The sequence below is a fragment of the Homo sapiens genome, chromosome 9 (assembly GCF_000001405.40).
Source record: "Homo sapiens chromosome 9, GRCh38.p14 Primary Assembly".
In the NCBI taxonomy this organism is placed as follows: Eukaryota; Metazoa; Chordata; class Mammalia; order Primates; family Hominidae; genus Homo; species Homo sapiens.
The window spans coordinates 4801807-4822556 of NC_000009.12; the positions used below are offsets into that span (position 1 = coordinate 4801807).

The following is a 20750-nucleotide window of genomic DNA, read 5'->3' on the forward strand; positions in this document are numbered from 1 at the left end:
TGCCTTTGTACAAAATCAGTTCAGCATTTTTGTGTGGATCTCTTTCTGGGTTCTCCATTCTGTTCCATTGATTTATATGTCTGTCTCTTGCCAACACGACACAGTCTTTTTTTCTTTTTTTTTGAGACGGAATCTCGCTCTGTTGCCGCTGGAGTGCGGTGGTGCAATCTTGGCTCACTGCAGCCTCCGCCTGCCAGGTTCCAGCGATTCTCCTGTCTCAGTCTCCCGAGCATCTGGGATTATAGGTGTGTGCCACCACGCCTGGCTATTTTTTTTTTTTTTTTTTTTTTTGTATTTTTGTAGAGGCGGGGTTTCACCATGTTGGCCAGGCTGGTCTCGAACTTCTGAGCCCAAGTAATCCACCCGCCTTGGGCTCTCAAAGTGCTGGGATTATAGGTGTGAGCCACAGCTCCTGGCCAGTATATCACACAGTCTTGATTACTTACTGTAGCTGTCTAATGAGTCTTGAAGTTGGTTAGACTGATTCCTCCCAGTTTGTTTTTCAAAATCATTTTAGTTATTCTAGTTCCTTTGCCTTTCAATATAAATTTTAGAATAATCTTGTCTAATATACAAAAAAGCTTTCCAATATTTTGACAAGAATTATATTACACCCATATGTCCATTTGGGGATAATTGTCGTCTTTATTATGTTGAGGTTTTAATCCATGAACATGATCTGTCTCTCTACTTACTTAAATCTGTTTCTTTTCCCCAGATGAAATATTATAGGTTTATTTAAAACATAATTCTCATCCTGAGATGAGAAATGTTCATTTGTTCACAAAATGTTCATTTTTCAATGTTTACAAAATGTTCATTTTTTTTTACTTTGTTATTTACAAATATACGGAAGTAGTTTACTTAAATTTTTATTACATATTTATTAAGGCAGGTAACTACATAGAAAAAAATTTTATTCTGTCTTAAGCATACTTGGGAATAAACCATTTGACAAATTATTGCACATCTGAAACCACAGTGCATAACAAACTACAAAAAATGGTAAGTTTTGTTTTGTTTTGTTTTTTTAAGACAGGGTCTTGCTCTGTCGCACAGGCTGGGGTGCAGAGGTGCGACCTTAGCCTACTGCAACCTTGAATTCCTGGGCTCAAGCAATCCTCTTGCCTCAGCCTCCTGAGTAGTTAGGACTACAGGTGTGTACCACCACACTTGGGTAATTTTTTTCTTTTTCTTTTTCCTTTTTCCTTTTTTTTTTTTTAAGAGTTAGGGTTCACTGTTTTGTCCAGGCTGGTCTAGGAACTCCTGGGCTCAAGCAGTCCTCCTGTCTTGGCCTCCCAAAGCGTCAGAATTACAGGTGTTGAGCCACTGCATCTGACCAAAATGTTAAAGACATAAACAAGGCTTATTTATCTTACTTAGGTCATAAATGTAGATCAGAAGACAAAAGTAGATTTTCCTTGTCAAAGTATGCAGCAGTTTCAGAACTTTGGCTTCCTTGTTTAGTGCTTTTAGAACCAAGACTAACCAAGCACCATTATTTAGGATATTAACACACATTTTCTGTATCTGAATTTCTTCTTCTAACATCATAATAATGATTTTTAGAAGGCAAAGAGAATACAAGGTGATCTTCATGCTTATATCGTATTAAAACACAATTCAAGGGAATTCTAGTTTTCCCTCCCCTCAACTTAGGGATTTCATGTATACCCTTATATCCACAACTTCCAGTCACCTGCTTGGTGTTTTCTAAGTCCAGGAATATTCAAGTTGGATTTAGAATTGGAGTGATAGTAGATCCAATCACAGATCCCAACTGTTCTTTGATTTTTATCTTTTGGATTCCTAATTTTTCTTGATTATTCACTCACAAGTTGACTGAGTTCAGCACTTGACCATGATTGTAGTGCTTCCCAGGTGGCCTCCTCTTCTCACTGGGGAGGCAGTGTGAAAGGTAAAAAAAAAAAAGCTACTGAATTCTCTTCTGGCGGCGTGGGTCATATCCACTGTTTGTGATTTAAAAGTGCTTCATGTGGAAGGCAAGGCAGTCTGACCTGGAAAATGCAGGGTTGTACTTCTGGCATTGGAACGGGCTGTTCCCTGTGTGTTGGCAATAGTGCCTGGTCAGTTCATCTGAGAGGACAGATTTCCACTCACGGCCATCTCAGGCCCAGTGGTAAGGTTTCTCATCTGTGTAGGTTTGCGGTGTTTCTTGAGGCGAGAGCTGTCTGTGTAGGTTTTGCCGCTGCCTATGTAATCCCAAGTGTGGGTAGTGATCTTTTTTGGCTTGTGCTCCTCCAAGATGCAGGAACAGGGTGCCACGAGCTCTTGGTAACGGAGCAGCGAGACCTGCAGCTACATCTGGTCGGGCAGGAAGAGTGGGAAGTTGGGCTGGGTGGCACAGAAGCCCAGGGGAGCAGCAGCACAGGGTGACAGTCCCTGCTGCTCAGCAGTTCCTTGGGACCCAGGGTCGGAATAGTCTTGGTAAAGGAGCTGCTATCCGGGGGGAAGTCGCCTTTGGGCATTGCTGAAAGCGGGGCCTGTGCCCAGGTGGGCCTCTATGGGCCAGACGTTGGAGGCCTGCGGCTGTAGGGTGCCCCCACTGCTGAGTGGGTGCCGGCACGGCTGCCTTTGCTCACACTGAAGACCAAAGAGCTGCCGAACTCGTTCCCAGGGGCACTCCTTGACGCTGTCCACATGGAACTTGCCTGCCAGCCTGCCGGCTGCGGTGGAACTTACACGGGTTAAGTTCTGGGCGCGGGAGCCCTGCCGTCCAGTCGCCCAGGGGTCTCACGCTGTTGAAGTCCTCCAGGTTGAAGGGAGCTGTGGGCGGGGCCCACACTCCCGGCTGTAGAGGAGGCCTCCGCCGGTGTTGCCCGGTCCAACGCCCCGATGCCCCTGGCCTGCATGGCTAGTCAAAGCGGCCGGTGGCCGGTGCGCTGGTGGGGAGGACGATCGGCTGACGCCAGCGAGGACACGGTGGCGGCCACTGACTCCTGCCGGAGCAGCGAATTGGAAGGGATGAAGTCCTGGTCCATGAGGTCATGGGACTCCTCCCATGGAATGTGGCATTGCTACCACTGAAAGCTACGCCAACTCAGCCGCTCTCCCAAGTCTGTCACCAGGTCATAGGGTGGCTGGGAAGCACCAGGGGAAGTCGCTTTATGTGGAGAGCACCTTCAACTGCCGGACGGTGTCTTCTGCTTCCCGTTGGGTGGAATGCAACATGGAGAGAGACTGGAACAGTGGGTCACTGACAGCCATGTCAGACTTGCTAGGTGGCTGCCTCATTAATGTGGGGCCCTGAAGGCCCTCAGGAGCCCGAAGCAGCAGGGGTATCTCAAAGCCAATGAAGAGGGGATAGAAAGATTAGAAATGAAGCCTCCAGCCTGGGCAATGTGGTGAGACCCCATCTCTACAGAAAACAAACAAAACAATAAGCAAAACAAAAAAAACAAACAAAACCAAAAACTTTGGTTGGTGAGGTGGGACCTGTAGTCCCAGCTACTTGAGGAGGCTGAGGCAGGAGGATCACTTGAGCCTAGGAGTTCCAGGTTACAGTGAGCCGTGATCATGCTTCTGCATTCTAGCCTGGGTCTTCCAGCCTGTCTCTAAAAAGAAGAAGAAGGAGAAGGGGAAGGGGAAGGGGAAGGCCAAAACCAAAAAACCCCAAATTTCCAGAGATCCTTCTTTGGATCCTTCTTTGGATCAAATATTAGTTGGAGACAGCTTTAAAAAAAAGTTTTATATACAAAAGTTTTTAGAAAACTAAACTCTTATAGAAATAGACAATCAGCAGGGTAAGTAGGTCAAGTGGCCAGCCTGTACTCTCTTTGACTCATCAGTTCCCTCATGCTATGGGCACAGGGACAGTGGGCAGGTAGCTGGTCAGGTGACTGGCAGTGGTGGGTGTAGCTGAGGGCTTGCGGGTGGTGCAGTGCATGCTGGTGGATGGAGGAGGGGTGAGAAGAGCATTTGACCATTCTTGGTGCTGCGACTGCCTGCCACTACCTATCACTGCCTTTGTTCCCCAGAGGCCAGCAGCTGTGCTTGCCTTGTCAGTCTGGGGAACTCAGAGTCTTTATTTCTTTTGTTGCTGTTATATAGTTTTCAGCATACAAGTACAGTACATGTTTTGTTAGAATTGTTTGTAAATATGTTGTTTTTTTGGAGCAATTGTAAATGGTGTATCATATTTTAAATTTTAGTTTCTGTGTTGATTATTAGTATATAGAAATACCATTGGGGTGTGTGTGTGTGTGTGTGTGTGTGTGTTTGTGTGTGTGTGTGTGTTTGTGTGTGTATGTTTATCTGGTATCTTCCAGCATTGCTGAATTTATTTAGGAGGTTTTTTTTTCCCTTGTCATTTCCTTGGAATTTATTTTCTGTGTAGCTGGTCATGTTGTCTACAAATAGTAACAGTTTGATTTCTTCATTTTTGATATGTACGCCTTTTATTTCCTTCTGCCTTATTGCACTGGCTAGAATTTCTAGCACCATGTTAAGTAAAATGGGTGGGAGGGAACATCCTTGCCTTGTTCCCTATCTTAGGGGGAAAGCATCCCCCTAAGTATGTTAGCTATATGTTTTATGTAGATTTTAAAAAGTCAAGTTGAGAAAGTAATCTTTTATAACAGTTTTTCTAAGTGTCTTTTTAAACAATGAATGAGTGTTGTATTTTGTCCAATGCTTTTTCTGCACCAGTTGATGTGACCATGTGATTTTTCTTCTTCAGCCTATAAATATGGTGTATTGCCTTGATTGATATTTAAATATTGAACCAGCCTTGCATTCCTGGAATAGATTCTACTTGATCTACACACACACACACACACACACACACACACACACACACACACACACATATACTTACATATATATTGCTGAATTTTATTTGCTAATGTTTTGTTAAGGACTTTTGTTTGTATGTTCGTGAGCAATATTGCTCTGTAGTTTTTTTTTTGTGCTGCTTTGGTCTGGTTTTGGTATCAGGGTAGCGCTAGTTTAAATTAAATCAATTGGAAAGTTTCCTGTTTTCTGAAAGAGATTGTGTAGAATTGTTTTTAATTCTTTAAATGTTTGGCAGAATTTCATATGGGCCAAGAGATTTCTTTTTTGGGAGTTTTTAGATTATGCATTTCATTTCCTGAATGTTTATAGGGCTATTCAAGTGATGTATTTTGTATGTGTAAGTTGTGGTAGTTTGTGTTTTTTGAAGAAGTGGTCCGTTTCATCTAACTTGTTGAATTAATATGTGTAGAGTTTACAGTGTTTCCTTATTATCCTTTTGATGTCTGCAGGATCTGTAGTGATATCTCCTGTTTTATTCCCGATGTTGCTAATTGTGTTTGTCTGTGGGGGCGTGGGGGTGTCTTGTCTGTGTCCTCACCTTTTAGTTCAGTCTTGCTGGACGTTGTCAATTTTATTGATCTCTTTAAAGACCCGGTTCTGTGTTTCTCTGATTTTTCTATCTTGCTTTTCAGTTTTCAATTTATTTCTGTTCTTTATTATTTCCTTCCTTCACTTGCTTTGAGTTTATTTTGCTCTTTTTCTAAGTGTTTGAGGTGGAGCATAGATTATTGGGAACTTTTTCTGTTTCCTAGTGTATGTATTTAAAGCAATTACATTTTTGTCTCAACATTGCCTTAGTTGTATCCCATAAATTTTGGTATATTTCATTTTAGTTTTCATTTAGGTCAACGTAATTTTTATTTTCTTTGAAACTCCTATCCTTTGACCTATGGTTATTTTTATTTTTATTTTTTTGAGACAGAGTTTCACTCTTGTTGTCCAGGCTGGAGTGCAATGGCATGATCTCAGCTCACCACAACCTTCGCCTCCCGGGTTCAAGTGATTCTCCTGCCTCAGCCTCCTGAGTAGCTGGGATTACAGGCATGCACAAACACACCTGGCTAATTTTGTATTTTTCGTAGAGACAGGGTTTCTCCGTGTTGGTCAGGTTGGCCTCAAACTCCTGACCTCAGGTGATCCGCCTGCCTGAGCCTCCCAAAATGCTGGGATTACAGGCGTGAGCCCCCGCGCCTGGCAGCTATGGGTCATTTATAAGTCTGTTGTTTAGTTTCCATGTGTTTGGATATTTTCTGCTATTGATTTTAATTTCATTCCATTACGGTCAGAAAACATTCTCTGTATGATTTCAGTTCTGTTAAATTTATTGAGTTTTTTTTAATGGTCCAAGATATAGTCTATCTTGGTGTATATTCTGTGGACACTTAGAACAAATATATGTTCTTCTCTTGTTGGGTGGAGTGCTCTATAAATGTTGATTAGATCCTATCGGTTCATGGTGGTGCTGAGTTCTTCTTTGTCCTTGCTGATTTTTCTGTCTAGTTCTATTGATTATTGAGAGAGGGGTCGCTGACAATAATTGTGGATTTGTTTCTTGTTCATTTCTATCAATTTTTCTTTGCATATTTTACAGCTTAGTTTGATACATTTAGGATTGCTAACATCCTCTTAGTGCTACATTGACTCTTTTATTATATAATGTATCACTCTGTCTCTAGTATTTTTTAATTTTTTATTATTTTTTTTAAGACAGGGTCTCCTTCTTTCATCCAAGCTGGAGTGCAGTGGTGTGATCTCGCCTCATTGCCACCTCCACCTCCTGGGCTCAAGTGATCCTCCTATTTCAGCCTCCCAAGTAGCTGGGACTATAGGTGTGCGCCATTATGCCTGGCTAATTTTTGTATTTTTTGTAGAGACAGGGTTTCGCCATGTTGCCCAGGCTGGTCTCGGATCTCCTGAGCTCAAGTGATCCACCTGCCTCGGCCTCCCAGTGTGCTGGGATTATAGGCGTGAACCACTGTCTAGTAGTTTTTTAGGGTGAAAGAAATGCTCTAGTAAAATAGGGATAGAGAGGGATTACTTTCTTCCATTGTGTTCATGAGGACTAGTATTGAAGAGTTCAGGTATAAAAAACTTGAAAGGCAGTAAAAGCAGCATAAATCAGAGGATTAGGTTGCCCTTGATTGTGAAAATTATCACAATCAAGGGTAATGTGGATTCTCATATAAGCAAAGCATGATATCTAGAAAAGTTTGAAGATAGAGGGCAAAGAAGTTTTTGATTTCATTTTTATATTATAAAAGTAATACATGTTTGTTTGGGGGAACAACTCTTAATGATTTAAAACTGAAAGTAATCTGTGCAGGTTACATCCTTTATTGCCTCTGGCTACTTAACTCTTGCTGTGTTGCTCACCAATCATATTCCCAAGAAGCAGTCTTCCAGACCTTTTTCTATATGTGCACTTTTTTTTTAAAGCACAAGAATATTATCATTATTCCATTGCAGTATATGAGCTTCTTAAGGTTTTTTTTTTAATGGCTACAGACTGTTCCATAATACAGACATACCAATTTATTTAACCATTCCCTTAGCTATAGATACTCAGTAATCTTCAGTGTTTGTCATTAAATAAAGCAGCAGTAAAGTTTTCTTACATATATCCTAACATTCTTCTGTTTCCATAGGTAGAGTCATAGATGTGAAATTGCTTGGCTAGAGACTCCTTTTTTTTTTCTTGCTTTTTTTTTAAATGGAGTCTTGCTCTGTCGCCAGGCTGGAGTGCAGTGGCAAGATCTTGGCTCACTGCAACCTCCGCCTCCTGGATTCAAGCGATTCCCCTGCCTCAGCCTCCCAAGTAGCTGGGGCTACAGGCATGTGCCACCACACCCGGCTAATTTTTTGTGTTTTAGTAGAGACGGGATTTCACCAAGTTGGCCAGGCCGGTCTCGATCTCCTGACCTTGTGATTCGCCCGCCTCGGCCTCCCAGAGTGCTGGGATTACAGGCGTGAGCCACTGCACCCGGCCAAGACTATGCTTTTTAAAAAAGAAATAGAAAAAATGGAATGCGAGATCGAATCAAAATATATGAAATTCTCTTCATTAACTGGCAACATAGCCTTTCCCTTAATTGATATTTCTTCCCTGTATTGATATCTTCTTTTACTTTTTTTCTTGAGATACCTTTAATGGCTTTTCTGTGTCATGAAGTTAGAGACATGATTGGGTTTTTTCTTTGCTTTTTGTTTGTTTTCAAGATGGAGTCTCACTCTGTCACCCAGGCTGGAATGCAGTGGCGTGATCTTGGCTCACTGCAACTTCCACCTCCTGGGTTCAAGCGATTCTTGTGCCTCAGCCTCCCAAGTAGCTGGGATTACAGATGTGCACCACTATGCCCAGCTAATTTTTGTATTTTTGGTAGAGATGGGGTTTCACCATGTTGGCCAGGCTGGTCTCGAACTCCTGGCCTCAAGTGATCCTCAAGTGATCTGCCTGCTTTGGCCTCCCAAAGTGCTAAGATTACAGGCCTGAGCCACCGCATCCTGCCAGTTTTCGTATTTTTAAAGGTATTTTTTCTTTCAACTTTGTTTTTCATTTTTTTAAGTAAATTTTTACCGAAGCGTACCATATATTAAGAAAAGTGCGTAACCAATAAATGTACAGTTTGATGAGTTATTACTGTGGACATACCGATGTAGCTATTACCCATGAAAAGAAACAGTATGCCAGCATCCTCCCATGCTTGTGCCCAGCCACACCATTCCCTCCCACTGCCAAGGTAAGCATTAAATTTTTAACACCATGGATTAGGTTTCTAAAATATTAACTATAATTTTTGTAAATGGAATCATATAGTACGTAATTGTTTGTGTGCCTGGCCTCTTTAGCTCTGTTGTATTTGTGACATATCTCCGTGTTGTAGCAGCAGTTTGTTGACTTTCTTTACTACGTCATGTTATTCTGTTTTTTTAATGTGCCACAATTTAGTTTTGATGAAAATTTGGCTTGTTTCCACTTTTAACTATTAAAAACAGTGATACCAAGAATATTCTTGTACAGTCTTTTGTGCACATATATGTGTATGTCTCTTGCCTGAATGCTGGATCGTAGGGTGTGCCTATGTTTAGTTTTCCCAAGTGGTTGTACAAAGTGACTGTAAATATATCTGAGGTCTAGTTACTCCACATCCTATTCAGCACTTGGTATTGCCAGTCTGTTTAATTTTAACCAGTTTTGTAGGTGTATTGTAGTCATTCATTGTGGTTTTAATTTATATTACCCTGTGACTAATGAGACTGAGCACCCTTTCTTTTGCTTTCATTGTTTTTAATGATCACAAATAATTGTAGGTATTTAGTATTTATTGGGCACAGTGTGATATTTTGATACATGTATACAGTATATAATGATAAAATCAGGGTAGTTAGCATATCCATCACCTCAAACATTTCTTTGTGCTGAAAACATTCAAAATCTGTTCTAGCTATTTGAAAATATACACCAGCCTGGGCAACATAGCAGACCCCATCTCCACAAAAATAAAAATAAAAAATTAGCCAGGTGTGGTGGTGCACACCTATTGTCCCAGCTACTCAGGAGGCTGAGGTGGGAGGATCACTTGAGCCCAGGAGTTGGAGGTTGCAGTGAGTCATGATCACACCACTGCACTGGGCAATAGAGCAAAACCCTGTATCTTTGCAAAAAAAAAAAAAAGGAAAAAAGAAAATATACAGTAAATTATTGTTAATTATGGTCACTCTATAGTGCTATAGAACATTAGAACTTATTTCTCTTATCTACCTGTACTTTTATATTTGTTAACCAGCCTTTGGCTATCCTTCCTTCTCCCCTCCCTTTCCCCGCCTCTAGTAACCACTATTCTATCCTCTACTTGCTATGGGATCAACTTTTTTAGCTTCCACAAGATATGTGGTATTTATCTTTCTGTGTCTGGCTTATCTTACTTAACATAATGTTCTACAAAAGCCTCTTCATGTTGCTGCCAGTGACAGAATTTCGTTCTTTTTTATAGCTAAACAGTATTCCGTTATGTATGTGTTTGTGAATAGTGGTTTAATAAACCTGAGAGTGCAGATATCTCATTGACATTGATTTCTTTCCTTTTGGTATATACCTAGTAATGGGATTGCTGGATCATATGGTAGTTCAATTTTAGTTTTTGAGGAATATCTGTACTGTTTCCCATAATGGCTATACTAATTTACATTTCCACCAACAGTGTATTTAAGTTCCTTCTTTTTGTATCCTTGCCATCATTTGTTATTTTTTGTCTTTTTAATAATTGCCATTCTAACTGGGGTGAGATGATATCTCATTGGGGTTTTGATTTGCATTTCCCTGATAATTAGTGATGCTGAGCACTTTTTCATATACCTGTTGGCCATTTGTATGTCTTTTGAGGGATGTCTATTCAGCTTTTTTGCTGACTTTTAAAATTGGATTATTTGTATTTTTGTGTGTGTACTGGTGAGTTCCTTGTATATTCTGGTTATTAATCCCTTGTTGGATGGATAGTTTGTATTTTTCTTTCATAGCTTCACTCCAATGGTTTCCTTTGCTGTGCAGAAGCTTTTTAGTTTGTTGTAATCCCTTTTGCTTTTGCCTAGTTTTTCTTTTGTTGCCTATGCTTTTGAGGTCTTCTCCAGAAAATGTTTGCCCAGAGTAAACGTCCTGTAATGCTTCCCTAATGTTTTCTTCTAGTAGTTTCATAGTATTGGATCTTACATTTAAGTCTTTAAGTTCATTTTTTTTTTTAATATGATGAGAGTAGGCATCTAGTTCCTTTCTTCTGCATATGGCTATAGTTTTCCCAGGACCATTATGTATATTTTTAAATTTTAGAAATAGAGACGAGGTTTCACTATATTGTGCAGGTTGGTCTTAATCTCCTGGGCTCAAACGATCCTCCTGCCTTGGCCTCCTGAAAGGCTGGGATTACAAAGTTTGTAGTATATTTCAAAGTCACGTAGTGTAATGCCTCTTGCTTTGTTCTTTTTTCTCAGAATTGCTTTGGCTGTTAAAGGTCTTTTGCGGGTCCATATGAATATTAGGTTTTTTTTTCTGTTTCTGTAAATAATCTCATTGGTATTTTGATAGGGATTGCATTGAATCTGTAGATAAAGATGGAATGTGTTTCCATTTTTTTTGTGTGTGTCCTAAAGTTTTCCTTTTAGAGAGCTTTCACTTCCTTGGTTAAATTTATTTCTAGGTATTTTATGGTTTTTTTTAGTTCTTGTAAATGCGATTGCTTATTGATTTCTTTTTCTGCTAATTCATTGTTAGTATGTAAAAATGTTACTGATTTTTGTGTATTGATTTTATATCTTAGAACTACTGAATTTGTTTATCAGTTCTAGGAGTTCATGGCAGTACTTTAAGAGTTTTCTATATATAAGATCATGTTGTCTGCAAACGGGAACAGCTTAACTTCCTCCTTCCCGATTTGGATGCCCTTTATTTCTGTGTCTTGCCTAATTGCTTTGGCTAGGATAGGACTTCCAGTACTATGTTCAGTAGGAGTGGTGATAGTAGGCATCCTTGAGTTGTTCCAGATCTTAGAGGAAAAGCTTTAAAATTTCCCCCATTTGATCTAATTAAACTAAAGAGCTTCTGCACAGCAAAAGAAACTACCATCAGAGTGAACAGGCAACCTACAGAATGGGAGAAAATTTTTGCAATCTACCCATCTGACAAAGGGCTAATATCCAGAATCTACAAAGAACTTAAACAAATTTACAAGAAAAAAATCAAACAACCCCATCAAAAAGTGGGCAAAGGATATGAACAGACACTTCTCAAAAGAAGATATTTATGCAGCCAACAGACACATGAAAAAATGTTCATCATCACTGGCCATCAGAGAAATGCAAATCAAAACCACAGTGAGATACCATCTCACACCAGTTAGAATGGCGATCCTTAAAAAGTCAGGAAACAACAGGTGCTGAAGAGGATGTGAAGAAATAGGAACACTTTTACACTGTTGGTGGGAGTGTAAACTAGTTCAGCCATTGTGGAAGACAGTGTGGCGATTCCTCAAGGATCTAGAACTAGAAATACCATTTGACCCAGCCATCCCATTACTGGGTATATACCCAAAGGATTATAAATCATGCTGCTACAAAGACACACGCACACGTATGTTTATTGCGGCACTATTCACAATAGGAAAGACTTGGAACCAACCCAAATGTCCATCAGTGATAGACCGGATTAAGAAAATGTGGCACATATACACCATGGAATACTGTGCAGCCATAAAAAATGATGAGTTCAGGTCCTTTGTAGGGACATGGATAAAACTGGAAACCATCATTCTGAGCAAACTGTCGCAAGGACAGAAAACCAAACACTGCATGTTCTCACTCATAGGTGGGAATTGAACAATGAGAACACTTGGACACAGAGTGGGGAACTTCACACACCGGGGCCTGTCATGGGGTGGGGGGAATGACGAGTTAATGGGTGCAGCACACCAGCATGGCACACTTATACATATATAACCAGCACGTTGTGCACATGTACCCTAGAACTTAAAGTATAATTTAAAAAAATACAATAAAATAAAATTTCCCCCATTCAGTATGTTAGCTGTGAGTTTGTCATATACAGCCTTTATTGTGTTGAGGTGTGTTCTTTCTATACCTAACGTAAGAGTTTTTATCATGAGGGGGTTTTGAAATTTAAAAAAATTTTTTTTAGAGATAGGGTCTGACTTTGTTGCCCACGCTGAAGTGCAGTGATACAAGCATAGTTTACTGCAACCTTGAACTCCTGGGCTCAAGCAATCTTTCCGGCCTGGTCTCCCTACAGGTGTTTGCCACCATGCCCGGCTTTTGTATTTTTTGTAGAGATGGCGGTCTCGCTTTGTTGCCCAGGCTGGTCGCCAACTCCTGGGCATGATCATCCTCCTGCCTTGGCTTCCCAAAGTGTTGGGATTCTAGGCATGAGCCACAGTACTTAGCCTCCTGTCCTTATAAAAATTGTTTTCTGGTTGATTCGTGTCTCCTTTTTTTCTTCCCGTCTTATTGTTTGTCATTGCAGTTTGATGGTTTTCTATAGTGATAAGGTTTGATTTTTTTCTCTTTGTCCTTTGTGTATTTGTTCTACCAGTGAGTTTTATACTTTCATGTTTTTTCATGGTAGTGATTATCATTTTTTCATTTCTAGATGTAGGACCTTCTTGAGCATTTCTTGTAAGGCCTGGCTAATAGTAATGAATTTCCTCAGTTTTTGCTTGTCTGGGAAAGACTTCATTTCTGAAGGATAGCTTTTTTGGGTATAGTGTTTTTGGTTGACGTTTTTTTTTTCTTTCAGCATTTTGAATATATCATCTTATTCTCTCATGGTCTATAAGGTTTCTCTGGAGAAATCTGTTTTTAGTGTAATGGGGATTTCCTTGTATTAACTTGATGCCTTTTTCTCTTGCTGTTTTTAGAATTCTCTTTTTATCTTTCACTTTTGACAGTTTAACTATTAATATGCCTTGGGAAGACCCTTTTGGGTTGAATCTATTTTGGAACCTTTGAGCTTCCTAGATCTGTATGTTCATACCTCTTATCAGCCTTGGGAGCTTTTCACCTATTTCATTTGGCAGGCTTTCTGTGCTTCCTTTTTTCTCCTCCTGGAACTTTCATAACATGAACATTTGTTTGCTTAATGATTTCCTGTAAGTCTTGTAGGTGTTCTCATTTCATTTTCATTCTCATTTCTTATTTCTTTGAGTAGGTAATTTTGAAAGACTTATCTTCAAGTTCAGAGATTTGTGTCTTATGCTTGATCATGTCTGCTATTTTAGTTCTATTATATTTATTTCATTCATTGAAGTCTTAAGCTGCAGTATTTTTCTTTTCTTTTTTTTTTTTGCAACTGCAAATTTTAAAATTTATCCAGGAAGCATCAGATCTGGCCCAGTGGGGTGGGGTAGGGGTAGGTGGAGTGGCTCCATCTTCATTTGGCACCATGCTGAAAGGTACAGTAGCCGCTTAAAGCTCGGCTTGAGGATGTTGGGCCACTGGTCTAGGGTGTATCCTCACGGGAAAAGGGGAGTTTTTGCTGCTTGCTCCTGGAGCAAGACACACTCCAGCCATAGTTCTAATTCCAGGATAGTGTAGCGCAGGCCACAGGGAGCTGGGCACGGTGTTGACTCCTTCTCTGTGGGGAGCACAGCTACGTATGTATACTCCAGGCAGCTTAGGCCTATGAGGACTGCAGGGTTCCTCAGTGGTGAGGTCTGTAAGTGTCTAAGGTATTGATAGGGATCGCTAGGATCCTCTTCCTTACCTCCTTGCAGCAGGGAGAAGTCCTTTTGGTTCCCAGCTGATCCTGATTGGGGATTGGGGTGATAGAAGCTTGGCATTTCCTTCTGCTCTCTCTGTGGTCATCTCGAGTTTCTTTTATAAACTCTTCTGATGCACTCTGGCACCCTTCCTCAGTTATTTGTGTTAAAGTCTAGTTGTTTAATTGTTGTTTTGGCCGTCTTTGTGAAGGATTTCTAGCTGGCCATCTTGATCTGAGCACCTTTTCTTTGATGTATTGGTCAGTTGGATATCCTCTTTTATGAAGTCTCCATTCAGATATTTTGCTCATTTTTCTGTCTTTTTCTTATTTAATTGTTGATTCATTGGTATATTCTGGATATGTTAAAGGATTGCACATATGTTATTCCACTCTGACTTGTCTTTTGACACTTTCAGTGTAGTCTTTTGATAAACAATACTTCATAGTTTTAATATCCAATTTATAAATCTTGCCTATCCTTTTACCATGAAGATACATTCTCTGTGAACTTTAAAGTCTTCTGTTTTAAAATATAAACTCTGTGTTACATTTAGCAAACTCATTTGCCATTCTTTTTAAAATAGAATTTGACTGAGAAATAGATACCAAATTTTATCAGGTGGTTTTTCTGGAATAATTAAGCCAGTTAGTTGAATTTTTCCCCCTGCTTATATAATATTATATTTAATTAATGTTGTTGTTTTCCTTGTGCTTTATCCGCAGCCCTTTTTGGGATGCATCTTTCTTAATCACAGTAGTAATTTTAAAAATGTGTAATTTAAGAATAACATACTTTCTGAGATGTTATTTAAGATTTTTCATCTGTTCTCATTAAATGAGATTAGTTTGTAATTCTGATGTTTTTTAGTGATGTTCTTAACTATACTACAATAGCCATCTTTACACATTCTTTTTTGTGCTTTGGGTAATAATAATAATAATTGTTATTTTTTTGAGATGGAGTCTCGCTCTGTCGTCCAGGCCGGAGTGCAGTGGCGCGATCTCGGCTCACTGCAAGCTCTGCCTCCCAGGTTCACGCCATTCTCCTGCCTCAGCCTCCCAGGTAGCTGGGACTACAGGCACTTGCCACCATGCCCAGCTAATTTTTTTGTATTTTTGGTAGAGACGGGGTTTCACCGTGTTAGCCAGGATGGTCTCAATCTCCTGACCTTGTAATCCGCCTGCCTCGGCCTCCCAAAATGCTGGGATTACAGGCGTGAGCCACTGTTCCCGGCCAATAATTATTTTTTTCTTTGAATGTTGGGGAAAAAAAACTTACAGTGACTTCATCAGCGACCTTTTCTGTTTATTATTTGAAAAAAATTCTTCTTGTCTTCTTTTTAGGTCCTTTTGTGTCCTTTTCATTTATTTGTTTTGGTTTGTCATTTTTTACATAGCTTTCTATCTTAATTCCAAATATATTGGTAACTAATGGAGAATCGTTTACCATAAAGCTCTTAATCTTTTTAATTAATTATATGTTTTTTATTTTTTATTTTATTGAGTCCTATCTTATTTCCTTTTACAAATAAGTAAAGTGGTCGATTTATGTTGTATGTTCTCAGTTAATTAGCTTGATTTTTTTTTAATCTTTTTTTTTTTTTCTTTTTTGAGACAGGGTCTGGCTCTGTCATCCAGGCCACAGTGCAGTGGCTCCATCATGGCTCACTTCAGCCTCAACCTCTTGGGCTCAAGGGATCCTCCTGCCTCAGCTCTACCTCAACCCTGCCCCCCTGAGTAGCTGGGACTGGGGCTACTGGTGTGCGCCACCATGCCTGGCTAATTTTTGTATTTTTTGTAGGGTCAGGGTTTGGTCATGTTGCCCATGCTGGTCTTGAACACCTGGGCTCAAGTAATTTGCCTGCCTCAGCCTCCCAAAGTGCTGGGATTACAGGCGTGAGCCACCACACCCAGCTTTATTTTTTATTTTCTTTTTCTCTTCTTTTGAGATTATCATTTTTCTTTACTGTTTGGCTTGTAATTTTGTTTCATTTCTAAACTCTCAGTTCATTTTGCTCTTACTTTTCTAAGATTTTTTTTTTTTTTTTTTTTTTTTTGAGACAGAATTTGGCTTTTGTTGCCTGGGCTGGAGTGTAGTGGTGCAATCTCGTCTCACTGCAACTTCTGCCTCCTAGGTTCAAGCTATTCTCCTGACTCAGCCTCCCAAGTAGCTGAGATTACAGTTGCCTACCACCTTGCCCAGCTCATTTTTGTATTTTTAGTAGAGACAGGGTGTCACCATGTTGGCCAGGCTGGTCTTGAACTCCTGACCTCAGGTGATCCACCCGCCTCGGCCTCCCATAGTGCTGGGATTACAGGCATAAGCCACCGCGCCCGGCCCAGTTGCTAAGATTTTTAAAGTGATAAATTTTTCTTTGGTAGAATCTCATCTGTTTTGATGAAATTTTTCTTTCTATACAATACATTTTATTATGGTCTGCATTTTTTTTTCTTGACCTCAGTATAATTTAGGAAAGATATTTGGTTCTTTACATTAAAATATTTTTTATTTATCACATTGTATATAATAATGCACATATAGAAATAAATAAACATACATATTTGCAAGTGAGTGGATGTCTTAATTTATTCCAAGAATTGAGTATGTGTTTGCAATGTCTACCTCTTTGGATTTAATGAGGAAAGGAATGACTCCTAATTTTGCATGTTAACAGCTCACTGTCTTGTCTTCTGGTTATTCGCTAAAGAAATTGAAATCCGGCCGGGCTAGGTGGCTCACGCCTGTAATCCCAGCACTTTGGGAGGCTGAGGCAGGCGGATCACGAGGTCAGGAGATCAAGACCATCCTGTCCGGCATGGTGAAACCCTGTCTCTACTAAAAATAGCTGGACATGGTGGCACGTGCCTGTAGTCCTAGCTACTCGGGAGGGTGAGGCAGGAGAATTGGTTGAACCCTGGAGGCGGAGGTTGTAGTGAGCTGAGGTCTTGCCAGTGCACTCCAGCCTGGGCAACGCAGCAAGACTCTGTCTCAAAAAAAAAAAAAAAAAGAAAAAGAAATTGAAATCACATTATATATATAACTTTTAAACTTTTCCTCACATAATTAAATAATTATTTTAAAAGCATTTCTTAGGGGCACATGGTATTATAAAGATCTGTCATAGGCCATTTAATGAAAACAGTTTTGTTGGCTATTTAAATCATGTTGGAATATCTTTGTTTTGTTTATAATTTAAATTTTGTGTATTTTAAGAAATATGCACATGACACAAAATTCAAAGGGAATAAAAGGGTTTATAGAGCAGGGGTCCTCAACCCCAGACAGGGCAGGGTTGGCAGAATGGTTGAAGGATGAAACTGTTCCACCTCAGATCGTCAGGCATTAGAGTCTCACACGGAGCCAGCAGCCTCGATCCCTTGCATGTGCAGTTCACAATAGGGTTCATGGTCCTATGAGAATCCAATGCCATCACTGATCTGATCTATGAAACTGGACCCTGGTGCCAAAAGGTTGGAGAGTGCTGGTTTAGAGAATCTTTGAATTAAACAGTGTTACTAGTTTGTTGTTTTTTTCCCCAGGCTTTTTCTTTTTCATAAATAAGCAAATATATGTACATATATGTACACTTGTTCTTTATCCGCAGAAATGGTCACTATCAATGTACACTATCTGGTGATGGTACATTAAAAACAGAATTTGCTCACGCCTGTAATCCCAGCACTTTGGGAGGTCGAGGCGGGGGGATCATGAGGTCAGGAGATTGAGACCATCCCGGCCAACATGGTGAAACCCCATCTCTACTGAAAATACAAAAATTAGCTGGGCGTGGTGGCACGCGCCTGTAGTCCCAGCTACTCGGGAGGCTGAGGCAAGAGAATCGCTTGAACCCGGGAGGCGGAGGTTGCAGTGAGCCAAGATCGCGCCACTGCACTCCAGCCTGGTGACAGAGCGAGACTCCGTCTCAAAAACAAAACAAAACAAAACACAGACTTTATCAACTTTACCACTACTCAATATATCCATGTAATACAACTACACTTGTGCCCACCAAATTTGTACAAATAAAAAAATGCATAAGATATAAAAGTAGTGCATAAGAGATCGTAAAATGAACACCTTTGTGACCCCCCCATCCACAAAAAGAAATATAACTTTGCTAACATCTGTACATCTTTTAGCTATTTACAGCTCCTTGCCATGCCTCTACTGGTAGCCACTATCCTCACCATTATAGCATTGACTTTGATTCTCTTTATAGTTTTATAACCTAATTATGTATTCATAAACAGTGTAGTAAAATTGTGCTTGTTTTTGGAGCTTTTCCCTGAACGTTTTGAGATACCTGAAATCTTGTAGCCCCAGGAGCAGTCTTGAAGAAGAGGAGTCAGCAGGGTGTGTGGGAGGTGAATGGGCAAGGAATTCTACACAGGTTGGCCTAGTAAAGTTTGGGGACTTTGATCTTACCATTATTAGGTGGACTTGAGATCTTTTCTTGTACCAGGTGATGGAGTCATATCTTCACTGTTGCCAGGGCTCCGGAACTAGCTCTGAGTCTGCTTCTTTGAAGTGCTGCTTCTGAAGCACCGGTTTGCCGTGATCAGGGATGGTCCTGCCTGGAGTTCTCTTTATGCCCATTCTCTTTCTACTTTTGTTCTGCTGGGCGTTTCTGGTTTTGTTTGTGTGTAAGAGTCCGTGTGGATTGCAAAAAACAAAATCTAGAAAGTAAAGTCATGGTTTCTTCCTTTTTTCTTTTCTAATTTGTAAAAATCTGTGGGGTTTAATCTTAGGCTTTATTTGTAGGTGCTTGTTCCTCTATCCCATTTAGACACTTAGAAAGTTTGAACAAATCAAGGGCTTTCCTTTTTTCTGCAGAGCACGTTAGATTTTCTATAAACCTAAGTAGAAAGTGGCATTGTGGTAGAGATTGTGCCTGATTTGTAAAGAATGTTAAAAAGATCGTAGAAATAATTTCTAATTCAATTCCGTCGTTCAGATACTTTCAAACTCCTGTGATGCTACTTACATCACAACCTATTACACATACACATATGTGTAAAACAGACTGAAGTTTCACGAACAGCATCCTTAGTATATACAGTTATTCCAACGTAGTTTATTCTGTTCTAATTTTTTTTAATGTTGATTAGAGATCCATTAAATTAACTATAAGATCCTTCAAGAGATCAGTGCCTATAGTTGAAGGTACCATGATTTTCTAGAGGAAGAGGTTAGCTCCAAGGAATTAAACTGAACAGAGGCAAACTAGTGTCGTGGTGTGGCTAAGAGTGTGGAACCTTTAGGTTGTGTGTAGTAGCTTATGCCTGTAATCCCAGCGTTTGTGAGCCTGAAGCAGGAGGATCACTTGAGGCCAGGAGTTTGAAACTAACCTGGGCAACATAGTGAGATCCTATTTCTTAAAAGAGAGAGAGAGAGCATGGACTTTGGAGAAGGACAGACTTGGGCTCAGATCCTGGTTTTGCCACTTTCTGGTCATATGATCAGGGCAGTCTGTTTGGCATTCTTGGGTCTCAGTGTCATTTGACTAGGGCAATCTAGTTGGCATTCTTGGATCCTAGCCTTTTGTAAAATGGCATCTTAATCCATTTCGTTTTGCTATAACAATGTCACAGGCACAGACTGGGTAATTTATAAAAGAAAAGAAATTTATCACAGTTCTGGAAGCCAAGAAATCCAATATCAAGGTGCTAGTATCTGGCAAGGGCCTTCTTGCCACAGCTTCCCATAGCAGAAAGTGGAAGAGCAAGAGAGGGAGAGCGAGAGTGACTGAGAGAGCTGGACTCATTTTTTTTTTTCCCCCCAGAGATGGGCATCTTGCTGTGTTGTCCAGTCTGGCCTTCAACTCGTGGTCACAGGTGATCCTCCCACCTCAGCCTCCTGAGTGGCTGGGACTACAGATACACACCATGGCACCCCTGGCTGGACTCATTTTTATAGCAGCCCACTCTTGTGATATAATAATAAATCCACTCCTGTGATAATGGCATTCATCTATTCATAAGGCCAGAGCCCTTGTGGCTTAATCACCTTTTAGTGGTCCCATCTCTTAATATAGTCACAATGACAACTCAGTTTCAACATGAATTTTAGAGAGAACATTCAAACCATAGCAAATGGGAATGACACTCTGTGCCTCAGGGATATGAGTATTAAATGAAAGAATAGCTAGTGGAAAGTAAGCATGCAACACACAGCAGCTTTATTAACCATTGTTATTTGTTTCAGGATTTAATGGTGTTTCTCTGATTTCTAGCCCAGTGCCCTTTGTACAAATTGCAGAATCCATTATGACAAGAGTTATGGGACAGTGTTATGTAACAGACTAGGTAGATGGGAATTGCTTAGTTGATCCACTCACCCTTTGGGATCAGTTTAGGTGACTACTGGACTGTGTCCATAAACTCTGCTGGTTTATTACAGGAGTGGGAATTGTCTAAAAGTGTCAGGCAGTCACAGTGCCTTCAGTGGCAGAAGAGTTAGTCTTTCTGTCCTTGTTCATGGGCAGGAAGTTAAAACTAAGGGGTGTGTTTGTGTGTAAGATTAGCTCAGGGGAAGGAAGACTGGAGGAGTCTTCACTTCTCCTCCCATAATCTTACATTTAAAATCTATTCTCTTCCTTTCCCCTTCTTTTTTCCTCTCCCCCTCTCTTTCTCTTTTAAACAATGACCAGCTTTTGCCCAGGCTTGGTGGCTCACG

General features: G+C 40.3%; 1 protein-coding gene and 1 pseudogene across 3 annotated transcripts in view, besides 3 other annotated features; one reads left to right on the forward strand and one right to left on the reverse strand.

Moving 5' to 3' along the window:
• Window positions 1–20750, forward strand: part of RCL1 (RNA terminal phosphate cyclase like 1) — a 68123-nt gene that overhangs the window by 8863 nt on the left and 38510 nt on the right. The window lies entirely within an intron of this gene.
• On the reverse strand, window positions 1985–3228 carry KLF4P1 (KLF4 pseudogene 1; annotated as a pseudogene).
• Window positions 2251–2752: an enhancer, noted in NCBI's record as "H3K4me1 hESC enhancer chr9:4804057-4804558 (GRCh37/hg19 assembly coordinates)". NCBI's record gives its function as "activates a minimal SCP1, AML or CMV promoter by ChIP-STARR-seq in naive and primed H9 embryonic stem cells {active_cell/tissue: H9 hESC(naive and primed)}" and the evidence as "EXISTENCE:reporter gene assay evidence [ECO:0000049][PMID:30033119]".
• Window positions 2753–3252: an enhancer, noted in NCBI's record as "H3K4me1 hESC enhancer chr9:4804559-4805058 (GRCh37/hg19 assembly coordinates)". NCBI's record gives its function as "activates a minimal SCP1, AML or CMV promoter by ChIP-STARR-seq in primed H9 embryonic stem cells {active_cell/tissue: H9 hESC(primed)}" and the evidence as "EXISTENCE:reporter gene assay evidence [ECO:0000049][PMID:30033119]".
• Window positions 13775–13924: an enhancer, noted in NCBI's record as "active region_28152". NCBI's record gives its function as "activates an Ori minimal core promoter by ATAC-STARR-seq in GM12878 lymphoblastoid cells {active_cell/tissue: GM12878}" and the evidence as "EXISTENCE:reporter gene assay evidence [ECO:0000049][PMID:35858748]".